At 38.9% G+C, this 18019-nt stretch overlaps 1 protein-coding gene across 17 annotated transcripts in view; it reads right to left on the bottom strand.

Moving 5' to 3' along the window:
• The window catches only part of PPP1R12B (protein phosphatase 1 regulatory subunit 12B), a 244004-nt gene that overhangs the window by 38109 nt on the left and 187876 nt on the right, over nt 1-18019 (bottom strand). The window contains exons 1-2 of one of the 17 annotated variants that reach the window (XM_017001355.3): nt 14714-15121; nt 14353-14579 (exon numbers count right to left, since the gene is read on the bottom strand). The exons of 15 other annotated variants lie outside the window; for them this stretch is intronic. In XM_017001355.3, the coding sequence (XP_016856844.1) occupies nt 14353-14454 (102 nt within the window). In that variant the 5' untranslated portion in view covers nt 14455-14579; nt 14714-15121. Of the gene's footprint in view, nt 1-14352; nt 14580-14713; nt 15122-18019 lie in introns of those variants that run through there. One more of the 17 variants, NM_001197131.1, reaches the window with a different exon arrangement.

Raw genomic sequence — 18019 nt, 5'->3', positions numbered from 1 at the left:
CCAGCTTTTACCTGACTTTTGGAGCTATGTGGAATCCTTTATTTTTTATTTTTTTAAATATTATTGCCTTCAGGGGCTAACCTTAGCAATGTCCTGGGAAAGTCAACCCTACCAATTAGAGGAGAGTAGATAAATCTCCTAAAACCTCAGAGATTAGTGAGCTTTGGATGCAGTAGGAGTAACACAGTTACCTTAATACAAACAATATTATTTCAAAAAAGGAAGAAAACTGGACTTCTAAGGGTGAATTATTCTCGCTGTAATAGAAATGGTTTCCTTTCAGGTTTTTAGCCTAAAAAGAGTAAGACAAGATAGCTTAAAAGTATATAGGGTTTAATGTTTAATTCCCCCAATTCTGATAAAATGGCTTTGGTTTTTAGATCATACTTCCTAACTAATTTTCATTGGTGGAATACCTCTAGAAACTAGTGTTTTGCTTGGCTTCTTGATACCCTAGATAATCCGGGGTTTGATGAAAAAACACTAGTTGGATTTAGGGAGAGAGAAGATGGGGTTTCTTGGGTAAAGAAGCAGAGTGGCTGGATTGACTCAGAAGACTTAACTTTAATTTTTCCTCTTCATCCTCCTGTCATTCAAACTAAGCACAGATCAAATCAACTGTTAGACTAACACGACTTCATTCAAGAAAGCTGACTGCCAACCCTGCAGGGAGACTACTAAGTAAATCTAGAGGAGATAAGACAGAGTGGGAGTTTGCCTAAGTAATCTCAGGGGAACAGTGAGCCAGGAAGTGACATCAGAAGAGGCAAGCAGAACATAAGGTAGGGAAATGAACACTGAAGCTTCTCCCAGAGAAGAGGATTCTAAGAGGTCAGCTGAGTGGGCAGAAAATAAGGGGAAGTCCTAGAACACAAGGCTTAGGGACTCCAGCCAAATCGATGATCCTTTAGAGGCTAGGAATGCGGACTCATCTTATCTATGCTCTGGCAATGGTCCCATCCTTCCATCCTCCTCCTCTGTACACTCCCTCTCTCTTCTCAAAAACAGAAGTTAGTCTACTCTGTAAGTAGAGTCTGAATAGCTTATCTGCACATGATGATATCATATATTTTAGAAAAGGCATGAATCTTTTCTCCAATTGGTAGGTTAATTCACAAATTTATTATGCTGTATGCTCTAATCTGGAAGTCTTAGAACTTCTCTAAGTGTTTTTGTTAAAGATTGTTTTGCTCTACCTTCTGTTGAAGACAAATGATGGCCACTAAAATGAGACTCTCTAGTGTGTCTGAACTAGATAGAAACTGTTCAAAGAAGGAATTACTTTCACAGCTTTTATGGCCCAACTGGGGACAACAGATAATGTAAATGAGACTCTAGAGAAGAAGAGACTAAAAGCTGCTCAGAAACCAATATGAATACATTGTAGAGTAGAGGTAAAAAGAATGATTAGCTGGATAGACCATAGTTTTAAAAATGTCCCAAAACTAAGAAGCAGACTTCTTTCTTTCATACCTCTTGAAATTCTCCCGTAATAATCTCATTGCTTGGGCCTGTTTCTAATAAAAGAACAGAATGAAGATCACCATTAATTCAGATGGCAATCCTAGAAAGGGACAGAAACCAGACTGGTTTTGATTTGTGAAATGTGTAGGGCCCTCAAAACACCAGAGACTGGCTTAGAAAAATCCCCACAAAAACTTTTAACTTGAAAGTTATCAGGAGTTCAGGAAGGCACATAATTAAAACCAAACTCCTACCAAGTTTAAAATAAAATTGTGGCTCAGGAAAGCTGGGCCCAAGGGAAAGGAATGAGACCAAGTCACATGTCTGCTGCCAAGGCTGAAACTGGTTTAACTCAAGTTCCTTTTGAAGTCATGGCTTGACCCCACAGTGATGGGAAAAAACTTCTATTTACATTTTCTCCTGAAGAGGGACTAAGCAGAAGGAACATTTTATATTATGTTCTTGTGTACTAGCTGAGCCAGGGGAAACAATTTGAGCTATTCTGGGATGGTCTACAGAGAACCATCTTCTTTCCCTTCAGTTTTCTCAGAATATTGACTGATGATGAACAAGCCAATGATGTGAGTGTGGCTGCAGCAAGGACCCTTCAAATTTTCAGAGGTACTGCAAACCTAATCATGGTCTGAGTTAATTGCAAAATAGTATAATTTTGTAACTTTTGAGTTTAAGAATCATTCTGGTTTCATATATAAGTCTAAGAGAGACAAAAGTTTTCCATCCTTCTATCTTAAGGGAAAAGATTTCTTCATAATTCAAACAGAGAAGATTCTTAGGAAACTTGAAATAAAGAGAATCTACCAGTCTCTAACTTTGAAGTGAAGCCTGCATTGTTCTAGTAATTTATCTGGGGATCCTGCATAATCTGGAAATAAATGTGAGGGTGGAACAACAACTTCCAAGATTTATGCAAAGATGTGACAGTAGAGGGCAATGATAATGAGGCCTATGCTGTTTTTTATATCAAAAAAATTATCATCAAATTTTCAATTTCATTAGTTTTCTATTGCTGCCAAAACAAAATTTAGTGGCTTAAAACCATTTATTATCTCACAGTTTTGTAGGTCAGAAGTCTGCACAGTTCTGCTGGGTTCCCTCCTCAAGTTCTCAACGGTCTGAAATCAAGGAGTCTGCTGCTGGCTTTTATCAGGAGCATCTGGGGAAGAATCTGCTTCAAGCTCATCCAGGCTGTTGGCAGGAATCCAGTCCTGTGAGGTTTCAGGTACCCACTGCCTTGCAGGGTAGTGGCTGCTTACTGCTTGCAGAAGCTCCTACATTCCTTTTCACATGGCCCTTCTGATTTTCAAACCAGCATTGAAGCACTGAGTTCTTTTCGCACTTCACATTTCTCTGGCTTCCCGTTCCATCATCTGCTGAGAAGGCTCTCTGCCTTCACAGGCTCATGTGATTAGCTCAGGCCCACCCAGGAAAACCTCCCTAACTTAAGGTCAACTGTGCTATGTAACAGAACAATCATGCGAGAGCTATCTTGTCATATACGTGGGTTCTACAGATCAGGTGAGGACTTTTGGGGAGGCATTTTAGAAATTCCAACTATCACAAGGATCTCCCTTAAAAAAAAAATGGTTTAATTTATCTGTAACATCCTAAAAGAAACATCCATAGCACATGGCCTCTCAGCTGCACTAGGTGATTACATACATTCAGAATCAGGGCAATACCAAAAGTGCTGTCTTATGCAGGGAAAAAAACAGGCGTCCATGTGACCTGGTATACATATGTGTAAGAGAGTATACTTCCAAGGAAAAATTAACTTTTAAAAGCAAGTATTAAATCACATATGTCTTCATCATATTATATGTCTTGATTTGTCTTTACTGACTACTTAATACATATAGAACAAAAAGTTAAACATAGTCAAATACAGTATTTACATTCAGTTCATATTATAAATATTTCTGAAAAATCTCATATGCCAGATTGTGACTACCCTATCAATTTAAGGCATGTAAAAATGATATCATGTAACATCATCTCACATATTGCAGCACATATCACTATATTTTAAAAGAAAAACCATTAAGTTCATTAAATGATAGACTCATCTTTTGTTGTCTCTATTGTGCTACCTAATATTATTAGAATTTTAAAGCTCTTAGCATCTATGCAGACCTGCACCTCCCTTTTGTGAATATTCCCAGCTTCTGAAGAATTTCTGATCTTTTGGAAACTCACAAAATGCACTCATTGTAGAAGGAAATATATGGATATACTAAGGCCTCCATAAAATACCTAAGGCAAGCCATTTTATATGTATAATTCATAAACTCTTGTGATTCATAAATGCATTTGCAGCCTCCGGCATATTTTCCATCGAGCCTTTCACATGCTGTGTACTATATAGGATGAAAATGACCAACAGGGGAATGAGGAGCTCTAAAACTTGTGTGGCTCTAGCACATGGGTCACATTTCTCACATTTAATATCTATATTTACTTTCCCCATAGCTTGGAGTTTTAGGTTCACACAGATGTGTATGGGCATCTGAAACTATGAAATACATTCAGATGATTTTAAAAAAAAACACAGCCTCAATGAACACCTAAGAAGCCTGATCAGTCCCTCCAAAATATTGTTAGAATACAGCATAGAGTATATCGTAAATTTTAAAAGTCCTTATTTAGGCCTTAAATCCCACTGTTTGAGTTTCACTCCATTTCTCTAATTGAGATTCCAGGTCTCTCCCCACTAGCCTGTCATGATGTTACTGACCACCATTATACCTATTTAGGAAGTAAGCTTTCCATGAAGCCTGGGAAGAGACGGGTTTTTTCATATGGTAAATGTCACAGTCCAGCAGCCTGTTTGGGTAGCAGTAACTTTATTTTTATTTGGACTAGGCTGTGAATCAAAACTTTTACAAAGGAATTAGTGAGGCTCTCCAGACCTCACATTTCATGAGGAAATAAATATTAATACTTGGGACCTAAGTAACATAGGGTAGAACTTTTTATTTCTAGTAGATTCCACAGGCTTTTTCTCTTTTGATTCCCACAAAAACAAAAATATTAACTCACATATTTTGGAGTGACCAATATACTAGCAAATTGCAATAAACAGGAATCTGAATTGACTTGGGAAGATCTATGGTTAGCCTTCATGTTAGAAATAAGATTCTCAAGTGTGTGTGGCCTCTGACTCCTTTCCAGATGGCTAAATGGGATAGGAGCGGAGAGATCAAATCTCAGGCAGCAGCATTCATTCCCTGCATTTACATTAAGCACCTGTATGTGCCCAGCCTTGTGAGTAGTACTTACAGGAATAAAATCGACAATTACAGAATCTAAGACATGGCTCTTTGATCTCAAAGAGCTCTTCTCTGAGGAGGTAAAATATGCACACTCATAAAACAGAGTGTAATTCAAGAAAGTTGGCCGGGCACGGTGGCTCATGCGTGTAATACCAGCACTTTGGGAGGCCGAGGCGGGTGGATCATGAAGTCAGGAGATTGAGACCACCCTGGCTAACACGGTGAAACCCCGTCTCTACTAAAAATACAAAAATTAGCCAGGTGTGGTGGCGGGCACCTGTAGTCCCAGCTACTCGGGAGGCTGAGGCAGGAGAATGGCATGAATCCGGAAGGCAGAGCTTGCGGTGAGCAGAGATCACGCCACTGCACTCCAGCCTGGGCAACAGAGCGAGACTCCGTCTCAAAAAAAAAAAAAAAAAGGTAATTGATTAAATGCAATCAAATGTTAGACCATCTAGTACATACAGTAAATAAAAAGGGGTAGTTAGGAAAGGGAGAGACCAATACTGACTAGATATTCTTGGCAAGGTGATAATGGAAGGAACAAGCTTAGTGGATACATCAGCTTGAAGTCTGAAACTGGGTGGTCATGAAAAATGACACTATTATGTGTGACTTGTAAGTGATCTTACATAAGTTGGGGCCTTGCGAGGGCCACAGTCATCCCAAAGTGCTAGTCTGCCTTGAAAGATGAAGTTCAGAAGGATAAAGAACTGAAGCTTTCTTTGATTCTTCCACTTTCATACCCCCAATAGGGAACTTGAGTCTTCAAATGCACAAGGTTCTTATTTAGGGGGCTAAACCACCTCCCAGAGCAGAACAGGTATTTTAAAATGTAGACTTTTGGGACAGGGGATGCTTTTGTAGTTTATTTTCTTGGTTTTGGCAGGGAAGGGTCTCCTCAGATGAGAAAAACCTCAGTAATTCAGGCCCTACTAATTCAGAACTTGTTACAATTTAACAGGTCCTGAGTTTTATCATAGATACTTATAAATACTAAAATTATATATATATATATATATATATATATAGAGAGAGAGAGAGAGAGAGAGAGAGAGAGAGACAGCGAGCGAGTGAGCGAGCGCATGATCATGGCTCACTGCAACCTCTACTTCCTGGGCTCAAAGTGATCCTTCTGCCTCAGCCTTCTGAGTATCTGGGACTACAGGCATGCACCACCACACCTATTTTAAAATTATGTAAAATTCTGACTTTGGCTGGGCACAGTGGCTCACACCTGTAAGCCCAGCACCTTGGGATGCTGAGGCAGGAGGATCACTTGAGGTTGGGAGTTTGAGACCAGCTTGGTCAACAAGTTGGTGAGGCCCCAGCACACCTATAGTCCCAGCTATTAGGGAGGCTGAGGCAAGAGAATTGCTTGAGGCCAGGAGTTTGAGGCTGCAGTGAGCCATGATGGTGCTACTGCACTCCAGCCTGGGTGACAGAGCGAGATCCTGTCTCAAAAAAAACAAAACAAAACAAAACAAAACATTCTGACTTTTTACTAATCTAGGTTTGTCTGTTCCTGTAATTCTGTTACATTTTTCCTTAATATAGCTTTTGTTGTCGTCATCTCTCTTTCCAAGTCAGATTCAATAGTCAGGGATACTGGTAATAATCTAGGAGCTATTTAAAGAAGAGACAGTAGTTTCACTAGAACAGTTACATGCCTTACTGGTTAAGGCTGAGGCTCCTGATCCAGATTGCTGGCTCCAGCATTTACTAAGTTATGTGATCTTACATGATTACTTAACTTCTCTGTTCAGTGTCCCTGTCATTAAAATGAGATAGTAAACTTGGTGTTTATGGTTATCAAATGTATTAAATGAGACAATAAATGTAAGTGCTTGGTACAGCACTGACAAAGAGTAAATGTTCAATAAATTTTAGCTATTGATATTACTACAGTTCTCTGTACTTTTTTCTATTCTCTCTCTTGTCCCTCTTTGGTCTTTTGGCTCTCCCAATGTTTGTTGGCTACAAGAGGAATAAGCTCAAATAAATTCCTCAGCACTCAAGTAAAGGGTTTTGATTATTTGTAGATTTTGATTATCCAGGCTAATTCCTACTTCCCTTTCTAATCTACACACATTTAAGGTCATTATTTTACTGTCTGGATGGATATATGTCCTTCCAGACAACCAACCATGTAAAGTTGATTTTGGAAATCAACGCAAAACATTTTTTAAAATGCTATAATATACTCTCATCTATTTTACAATTTTATTTAAATCTAGAATATTTAACTTTTCATACAAACAACTTTTAAAATAGCCACTTGCAATTTTATGTACAACTCCTATATGAAAATGTTGCTTTCATAATGACCTATGAAGAGGTTAAAGTCCAGACACACTTTCAGTATCTTTATCTAATCATGTCACTGGTAGAACTCTTTCCATGCTGTGTAACCAAAGAAAGCTGTTGGATTTTGGAACTGTTATGAGAACTAACATCCCAGTTGTGGATAACCATCACTCACTGCATGATAACCAGGTCAAGAATAGAATAAAAAAGAGGCTTAAAAGAAATAAAAAGCTGATGAAAGGCAACTTTGATTGTTTCCCTTTGGTCTTCTTACAGTAATAAATTGCCAGCTCACCCAAATATTATCAGATTAAGAAAAGAAATTAAAAACCAATGCTGAATAGTCTGGGAACTTTTCCAAACTTTAAAAAATAATCCCTTGTCACACAGCTTAGGTATTTGTCACACAGCTTAGGTTAGGTACTGAAAACAAAACTAGAACCCAACACAAAACTCATAACCAATTGACCCTTAACTAAATTTCTGAATCCTTTGAGAACTGAAACTCATCACCGTAACATAAGTTTGACCACAATACCTTTGAACAAAGAAACCAGATACAAGACCTGCTGTCTTCCTGCATGTGATTCCAGTGGTGATGGAATAGGAAAGCGCCATTAGAAAAAGAAACATATCTCTTATCTGCTTGTGGTTACTCCTCTCGAGGTTTACTCTCAGCCCTTCCTTATGTTACATCTACTCCTTAGACAAGCTTACCACTCTTATGGCTTCAATCATAAATATCAGTATTTTTAGCCCATAATTTTCTCCCAAGCGTCAGACCAACTAGTTTCTGGAAATCACTATCTGAATGTCCCAAAGTACCTCTAATTTAACATATCCAAAGTGAAACCATTTCCCCACTCAACAGCATTTAGCCTCCTGTGTTTGCCAACTCAATTTTGTCACACTATTTTTTTTTTCTTTTTGAGACAGAGTCTCATTCTGTTGCCCAGGCTGGAGTGCAGTGGTGCAATCATGGCTCACTGAAACCTCGACCTCCTGAGCTCAAGCTATTCTCCCACTTCAGCCTCCCAAGTAGCTAAGAGTATAGGCACGTGCCACAATACCTGGCTAGTTTAACAATTTTTTGAAGAAACAGTTCTTACTCCATTGCCCAGACTGGTCTCAAACTCCTGGGCTCAAGCAATCCTCCCATCTCTGCCTCCCAAAATGCTGGAATTACAGGTGTGAGCCCCTGCACCTGATACTTATCATACCATTTTCTACCCAGTCACCTAAACCAGAGACCTGGTAGTCACTCCTGACTCTGCCCTCTCTCAGGCTCATCCTTATCCCCATTCTATCAGTCCATATCTTATCAATTCTACCTTCTAAACAACTGAATGCTTCTCTGTATTTCCCAGAAAAAATATCTCTGCCTAGGCCCTTAACATTTCTCACCCGGAATACTGCAATCAAAGGCCAGTGACCTGATCATGTCCTGACCCTCCTCCCAGTCCAGCTTCCATAGCTGCCAAAGTTATTTCTCTAATATGCAATTCTGAGCACAGCAACTTTACTTCAAATCTTCATTCCTTTATTCTTTATCCACAGGATAACTCCCCAAATCCTCAAAATTATATACTAAGCCTCACGTGACCTGGGTTTGCTAAGCCTCCTCTCTCATTTCTTATTACATTTCTAAATATATCTTTTGTTCTAGCCACACCGATATGCAGCTCTCAGAATAATGCCATTATGTTCTCATATTCTTTTTCTACCTTTGTAATGTACTGTTTCCTTCTTTGTCCATCTAGCTTCTATTGTTCTCCAAACATCAGGCTAATGTATTAACCACATGGCTGATCTAAAACACCCTGAACCTATGTCTTTATTAGAAAATTCACCTCCCTGGTGTTCTAATTCTTGATTTTCTTTATCTCCCCAATTAGACTGCCAATTCTTTGAGGGCAGGAACTGTGTCTTTCATTTATGAATACTGGTGTCCAATATAAAGCCTACTACAAAGCAGATGCTCATAAAATGTTGTGGGAGGATTCACAATAGGGCAGATGGCTTTGATACACATTTATCATGGAACTAAAAATTAGAGTAGAAGGGCAGGACACCGCTTGCAGGAAAGGGAGCTGATGTCTTCGAAGCTCCCAGTCTCTCTGGTCAACAAACCAAGAATTCAGATGCCATCTCCCCCAGCTCTACGTAGGACATGAGTTAACTAGGCCAGTCTCTACTAAGAATTCATGTAATGGGTCCAAATGGGAAAGCTACTTTTATTCCCACAGGTTTTACTATTCTAGGAAGATTCCTTGGGCTGAACAATTACTGCTATTGATTTTCCTTGAGTGAAATAAAAAACCCCCAAAACGAATACACTCCTGCTTTTAATTAGGCGGAAAAAATGGTTAACAGATTGCACTCTTAATTAGCATTGTTCATCCAAGTGTTTCTCATTCCATGACAACGGATTATAAAGTGGAGTAAAAATGGATTCCAGATTGGTAGTGCATCAGATGTAGTGTTGGATGTATAGAGGATACGATAATATGCTAAATAACTGTTTGGTACTTGTCAGAGGAAGGCACAAAGCACATGCAAAAAATAATTGTCAACACTGACAGTCTGGAAGGCAAAGAGGCAGAATGCCTCTGGCCTGCTAACCAAAGTTGCTATGTAGACAAGCTCTCATGAAGGCAACAATCCTTTATCATCCAATTATTTATCAAATGTACCCTAATTAGTTTGTAGGACTGGTTATAAAACAAAGCTAATTGATTAAATGTTCCCTTTATGCACATTAATGGCTGACTGAAAAATATTATGTAACATCTTTGTATTTTTTTGTTTTTGTCATTTTTTTAAATTGACATGTTAGAACTGAAGGAATAGCAATCCAGACTAAATGGGAAAATGCTACTGATCTTGCTTTATAAATACAGGTCAAATCCTATTATAACAAATACCAATTCAATGAAAATGTGCCTAATTAAAAGATTCCCAGGGTTCAGCTAATGACCCACTTACTTCAAGATTTATTCAATATAATAAATATCAGATAAGCACTACAATTTGGACATACTCTAGTATTTGTTTCCTTTAAATATACCCTGCATTGAAAAATTTTTAAATTAGCAAATAAGAAAAATTTGAGAATACTGACCAAAGATTACCTGGCTCTTACTTTTAGGATAATTTAAAAATGCTAAACCATCTAAATTGAGTAGTTCCTAATTTATAGAATTTATAAATGTTAGACCCAATAATATACATAGTAATTAAAAATCAAGAGCTAGAAGTGTCTAATGTATTTGTAGTTTAGAATTTTTTCTTTAACTACGAAGACTCAGAAGAAAAATAATTTTTTTTAATGTTGGAAAATTACTGTCAAAAGAAAGTTTTACTACTAATTGTATGAACCCAGCATCTTATATTAGGGTTGTTTCGTGGTATGAGAAAAGAGACTGAGCTTTCAAATTCTCATCAATATCTACCTGGTGTGGTTCCCATTAGAAATGCAAGTGAATCTGAAAGTTTTTCCGCTTTTCCTGAGTAACAAATCAGAGATGATCAGAGCTGTTACTAAGGGAACTTCTCAACTTTTAGACACAAAAAAGATACTGAACTAATGGAAACTTCATATGAAAGCCAAAAGTAGCAGTAAAAAAAATTACTTCATTATTTAGGATCAACAGAGACCAAAATAGCAATATTAGGAGCATACCACTTATAACAGTCATTCTTACTGTCGGTAGGAGCGAGTGAGGGCATGCCAAAAGGATGGATGAAATTTTCTCTAGTGAGGAAGAGGGATGTGTTTGTTTCTTTGTTTATTTATAGACGGAGTTTCGCTCTTGTTGCCCAGGCTGGAGTGCAATGGTGCAATCTTGGCTCACTGCAACCCCCGCCTTCCGGGTTCAATCGATTCTCCTGCTTCAGCCTCCCGAAAAGCTTAACAGGTGCCCGCCACCATGCCGAGCTAAGTTTTTGTAATTTTAGTAGAGATGGGGTTTCACAATGTTGGCCAGGCTGGTCTCGAACTCCTGACCTCGTGGTCCACGAGGCTTCAGCCTCCCAAAGTGCTGGGATTACAGGTGTGAGCCACTGCGCCCAGCTGGGATGTATATTTTTAAAAACCATGTTTAATAGCATAATTTTGTGTTCAGAGAATTAAAAATATTTATTATTTTCAAAATACAAACTAGAGAAGGTAAACAAAAATCTTCTTGGCTGGTGAGGACATGCACTATCTTCTATATATGAGTGATTTTTCATTAGGGAGTATATCATCAGCTGCTGTTACGAGTTTAAAAGTAAACATATATAATAAAAGTTTGTTTTCTAGTCACTGAAAAATCATCCTGCCTTTTGTTTTCTCAAGTTAAAAATAATAACTTGTTTGACTTACAGTTTATAGTTTGCCTTTACTACTGCTTGAACATTTGACAAAGGGTACAGTGTCCAAAATATTCTCTCCATGTGAATAGCTATTATTTTAAAAATACTCTCTGAGGATATTTTCCTTATATGGGGGCATTTACTATTTAGCCCTGTTAACAACACTCAAAAAAAAGAATCAAACTTCTAAATGCTGGCTGAAATTTCAATCCTCCGTTTTGAAGAATGTTGGATCAGGTGCTGTCCCTCTGTAACTCTGTGCCATCTCTAGAAGAAACTGTATGTATGTATACAAACAAGTTAAAGAAGTTTGGAAGAGGACAGTAAGAGAGCTGTCCTGACTTTAACTCTGAAATGCACACAGAAACTTCCCAGTATCTTTACTGTAAAGACTCAAGCATTTCCACTTTTCTAGAGAAATACAAAGACCCTGAAGCCCATAAGGTCTCAGGTTCTGTGGGCTCCATGGTCCCAGAGAGTATGACTGGGATTTGAGAACCAGGCACAGGAGATTCAGTTATGGCCTGCCAATTCCCTCCCTTGGCCTATAAATACAGCTTTCCTCCTTTCTGCAATTTCAGTTTCCTGTGTCTCCATCAAGGATAAATTTTGGACTCCCACAGCTACTTAAGCTTTTAACTGTCATCTTTGCCCTTTAGCATGTTCTTAAACTTGACCTTCAAATATATTTGAGATGTACTCCAATGTTGCTGGGAATATGGGGTTTTAGAGTCAGAGAGCTTGGTGCTTTAATCAAGGCTCTGCTGCTTACTAGTTGAGCAATGCTAGGCAAGCCATTTCTCTTCTATGTATCTCAGTTTCCTCATATGTAAAATAGGGATAGCAATACCCACCTTTCAGGGTGGCTGAGGACCAGCCAGTTACAACCAGGCATCAAAAGACATATGAGCACAACACCATCACAAAACCAGTTGTTAAAATACACTCAAAACCAGTTTTTAAAGAGTACCCTAATTAGTTGGACATGAGAGGAAATGAACTAGGCTAGGGAGATCTTAAGAGATGAAATCTTCATTTTATAACCAGTCCTTAGTGTCAGCAGCCACCAAATGAGTCTTGCATATCTTTCTCTGACATTAAAGACATAAGCAACATAATGGAACATGAGTGGTATATGAAAATCAACATTCTCTTTATTATAGTCTCAAGCCATTTGGACACTGGAAGTTGGTTAGAGTAAGTTGATGGTATTGTAGGAATCCACGGCCAGTGACCACTAAAATTGGGAAGCAGTCTCTTATTAAGCCATCTGTGTTTTAGTTTCCTGTAACTCAGATTTTCTCCCACTGTGACCTCTGTCTAAAAGGCAGGGATGAGGGGTGGTGAAACGAGGGTAGGGAGGTTGGATGGCAGCTGTTAGAAGTGAGACAAGACGAAAGCAGTACCTAACTCTAAGAAAGCAGAGGAAAAACAGAAAGGGAAAATGGGGGAAGGTCACCAAACAGGTTATTGTTGACTGCTCACCACATTGCTCTGGGAGCTATGGTTATAGTGGTGAAGAGACATTAATAAGGGGATCTTTACAACTAAAGGTACTACTCAGTATAAGAGGGAAGGGAGCAAAGATAAACACTAACTGAAGTAAGGTGTTCAGTTTTGTGGACCTCAATTGGTAGCCAGCAAAAAATACCCAACAGCTAGTGGGGTGAAAGCATTCTGTGGCTCCTTGGGAAAAAAAGGTACCAGTCTATGTGTTGAAGAGACACTCCTGGAACTCGATGACAGTAACATATATATCGGAGCCCCTCTTGGTGCTCTCACAAAAACTTGTGAATAAAATAACTTCGTAACAATATTCTTTTGGTATTCTCATCCCTAGCTGAGGTCTTAGACCAACATGCCATATACCAAATTCCACTACATGGTAATTTATACTGGTAAGAAAGACATTGAAAATGCATACAAAATAATTGGGGGAAAAAAAAACCCACACTAGTCTATCCAGGCTTCTTGCAAATTTTCTCCCCATAGCTCCCTAAATAAGGAAGCTATGGCCGTCCTTCTTCTTACTCTGTATATACAGCAAAGCGCAATCTAGTTCCTGAAAAAGTAACTGTTATATTGCCTGCTACCTAATATGCCCATCAGAGCTTCTCATCCCTTGCTATTGGTAGCAGTTCTTGCTTTTATCAGCTTCCCACAGAGGAAGACACTAAATCAGATGCAAATGCCCATATGTAAATCTCTTCACTGAGACATTCATTAGAGAAAATGGAGAAAAGTCTCAAATGGCTCTACCTAGGACATCACAAACACCTCCATACAGCTGGTTGTCAATGGCCAAGAGTTAGTTCTTTGGCTTTTAAGCAAGACATTTCCTGAAGGTACTTGGTGATTAAGGAGTAAGGTTCCAAGTGGCCATAACTCCTTGCTCATTGCTCATTTTGGTCTTTCTCACAGACAGACATACAAAATAGGCAAAAGCATACTCTACCTCATATACATACATACATGAATACACACACAGAACTTGCAAAACTGAAGTTTAATGTATATAGTTGTGTGGCCATTTCAGAGGTTTTTCTCTTGAAACATAGTATTGACTCATAAAACACAAGAAAGGCAGTGACTAAAATAGCTGTAGAAATTGAGAAAAGCCTTGTAAGATAAAGTGATAAGGACTGTAAAATCTTACTGTTAAGCAGTTTACAACCGATAGTTAAAAGCTAAAAGGCAGAAACTGTAGCCCGACATATTTAAGTCTGCTTTTACTTAAGACTACATTAAGTATTATGAACCATAACCTCTTGCAGAGAAACTTACAGGGTCTTTACTTGCAATTTTTTTTCCCTGTACTGATTCCCATATGCTCTGAAATCCCTTTGCTCTAAACCTAATGCCCCAAGTTATATATATACACATTCTCTACCTTTGACACAGCTATGAACATACGTAAATAAAAAATGCTGCTTACTCGGAGCGTCTTGGCAGTCGGGGAGGGAGATGCTGGGGGAGAATCAGACTGAGATTTCCTATTCCGAGTGAATTCTTTACTTCGGGTATATAAAGAGGACATGGTTCCTCAGGATGCAGATAGACACTCAACCACTGGATTCTTCACACAAAGCTGGGAAATTTCCCTGTAGGTTACCCTCACAGAATCTCTCCTTTTGAGTTGATGCAAGATGACTTTGGATAGAACTAAATAAAGGATAAAAGCAGCCCTGTAAATTATAGTCTTGAGCTCTGAACCAGTCCCCAGTTACACAGAGTCTGAGTTCCATCAATATTTTCAATTCAGCTTTGACCACAGGTTCTCAGGACTGGTAGCTTACCGTAGAGGGTATTGTGCTGAGCAACACCTTTTATGCCTAGATTGAGTCCTTGATTCTCCTCAAAGGACACTTCTTATTGAGCCTTGCTCTCCAATAAAACCTGAGTCTAGGTTCCTGATGACACCAGATTAAATCCCGGAGGAAAGACGACCTTGGATCCTGCCGGCAGCGAGTCTGGGAACTACTATCACTTTATCCAGAGGGAAGAAATACAAATCCTGTGGAAATCATGCTGTCTTTCCTTAGCTTGACTCCACTGGGCTGTAAGGCATTTGGAACTACTATGATAAAATCAGGTCAAACAACTTAAAAAACAAAAACGAAAAATGATAAATAAGGAACCAAGAGTTTATAAGAAGGAAGCAGTCTGAGGAAGTCAAGTTTCCCTAAGTCCTCCCAGACGAAGCTGCTTTTACATATAAACACTCACAGTCATACACACATCTTTTCCCCTCCCCTCTTCTATTTTCTGACATTCCAAATCCCTATTCGCTCAGTGAGGAATGCTGGAGAGGAGCCAAGGGCAAAGATTCACTTTCAACTCAGAATTCGGGTTACCACTTGTAGGAGGAAAAGAAAGCCTGCCAGCTTCTAGGAATAAAGGGAGGCTCTTTGGGGGCATGCTCAGAGGCAAACCTCACCAACCTTCCAGTGTCCCCTGCCTCAGAGTAGGCAGCAGTCTCTAAGGCTGATTGCTCCGAATACTATGAGAAGGGGGATTTTTCAACTTCTAGATCTCTTAAGTAACAACGCCCAGACAGAAAAATTAGTCAAAGCACCTTCAGGCCCTTAATGTTCAATTTTAATGAGATGCCATTCCTGTTGCACCGTGAGGAAGCAAACTGAAGCTCTGGCTCACTGCAAAGAAAGTTATCTGTCCATTACAGACCTTACTGGCTGGATCTGTAAGTATAAAGCTTACCAGAGTTTCCTAAGATGCCACAATCGGGAAAATGACAATGGAAAGTGGTATAAAGGTGAGGGAAAAGAAAGAAGGGTCAGAAATGAAGAGAGAAAACAGACAGTAGTGCAATTGCAAGGCTACAGGACTCAGTAGTACAGGGAAAACGAAATTAAAAAGAGAGGAATTTATTTGCATAGTGTTGAAGGATTTTGGATTTGACCTGGAAGAAACATCTAAAATTTAATCTTTTGCACTTTGTTGTTACCACTACACTAACCAAAATTTCTAGGCCAAATGTTTTCTAAGCCAACGGGTTTATCCCCAAAGTAACAACCCTCTTTTCTCTGGACTCTTGGAAACTCTATCCTGCTTTCCCTTTTTCCACATGAAATTTATACTTTTCACTTCAAACTTTCTCAATATGCTATTCTTTTCTAACTGCCTTGACAACTTCTTTATTCCTATGATTAACTTTGTGAAATTAAATCAAGGGAAGTGATCAACTACTTGGAAGTTGGTCTGAGGAATATAGGTTGAAAAGAGTTTTACAAACTCATTCTTTTAGATTGAGAATGAATCAGAACCCCTTTATTAGGGGTCCTGGAAATTATTCCATCTTCCTTAAGAAGACTGATAAATTCTATCATAAACCAGAATACAGTGTGTCTCAAAGGCCAACTGTTGCCAGGTGCAATGGCTCACGCCTGTAATCCCAGCACTTTGGGAGGCCAAGGTGGGTGGATCACATGAGGTCAAGAGTTTGAGACCAGCCTGACCAACATGGTGAAACCCTGTCTCTACTAAAAATACAAAAAATTAGCCAGGCATTGTGGGGGGCACCTGTAGTCCCAGCTACTACACAGGAGGCTGAGGCAGGAGAATCACTTGAAACAGTGAGGCAGAGGTTGCGGTAAGCCTTGAGATCGTGCCATTGCACTCTAGCCTGGGCGACAAGAACAAAACTCTGTCTCAAAAACAAACAAACAAACAAAAACAACTTGCCAATTATCTTGGGAATTCAGATCTTATATGATGTATATTATAGATATAGCTTATATAGCTAATCTCATCTGATAAGGTGAGTCTCCATTAGATCTTTTCACTTAAAGAAATACTGATGTAAACCTAAATACTAACATTCCCATGCTTGGTAGCATGACTGGCTAGGGAAAGGTTAGTGACACTTTTTTGATATGTTGAATGAAAGTCACCGGTTTACATTATTCCTTAAAGGCATGGCAAGAACAACTTGATCAGACACAGTTTCCTGACCTGTTTCTGTAAGATTCATACAGTGATTTCACACTCACTGGCAATTAGAGAGGGAATGTAAACCTCTTTTACTACAAACTGGCCTCTTTGTCTCTTTTTACTTCTATCTTATGTCCACTTCTAGGAAGTAGTAACAATGACAAACTCTTTTATATTTTATAAAGTGTTTTAACATATATTATCTCACCTGATCCTCTCAACCACACTGAAAAGTATACCACTGTACAGTCATGCCCTGCATAACCGATGTTTCTGTCAACAAACCACACATACAATGGTGGTTGCATAAGACTATAATGGAACTGAAAAATTCTTATCACCTGGTATTTACTTTTTCTTTTTTTTTTTTTTGAGACGGAGTCTCAGTCTGTCGCCCAGGCTGGAGTGCAGTGGCGCAATCTTTGCTCACTGCAAGCTCCGCCTCCCGGGTTCACGCCATTCTCCTGCCTCAGCCTCCCAAGTAGCTGGGACAACAAGCGCCTGCCACCATGCCGGGCTAATTTTCTTTTTTTGTATTTTTAGTAGAGACAGGGTTTCACCATGTTAGCCAGGATGGTCTCGATCTCCTGACCTTGTGATCGGCCCGTCTCAGCCTCCCAAGGTGCTGGGATTACAGGCGTGAGCCACTATGCCCGGCCTAACCTGGTATTTACCATACTATATTTTAAATCATTATTTTAGAGTGTACTTCTCCTTCTACTTATATATAAAAACGTTAACTGTAAAATTGCCTCAGGCAGGTTCTTCAGGAGATATTCCGAAGAAGGCATTGTTATGATAGGAAGTGACAGCTCCATGCAGGAAGACCTTCCAATGGGATAAGATGTGGAAGTGAAAGACAGTGATACTGATGATTCTGACCCTGTGTAGGCCTAAGCTAATGTGTGTGTGTCTTAGTTTTTAACAAGAAAGTTTTAAAGTTAAAAAAAAAAACAGATAAAAGCTTATAGATTAAGAATATAAAGAAATATTTTTGTACAGCTGTATGTGTTTGTTTTAAGCTAAGTATTACTGCAAAAGGGTCAAAACATTAAATTTTAAAAACGTATAAAGTAAAAAAATTATAGTAAGCTAAGGTTATTTATTATTGAAGAAAGAAAAAACATTTTTATAACTTTAGTGTAGCCTAA

The sequence above is a fragment of the Homo sapiens genome, chromosome 1, assembly GCF_000001405.40.
Source record: "Homo sapiens chromosome 1, GRCh38.p14 Primary Assembly".
Classification (NCBI taxonomy): domain Eukaryota; kingdom Metazoa; phylum Chordata; class Mammalia; order Primates; family Hominidae; genus Homo; species Homo sapiens.
Note: the sequence above shows the minus strand (reverse complement) of the source record. Positions and strands in the feature narration are given on the sequence as shown.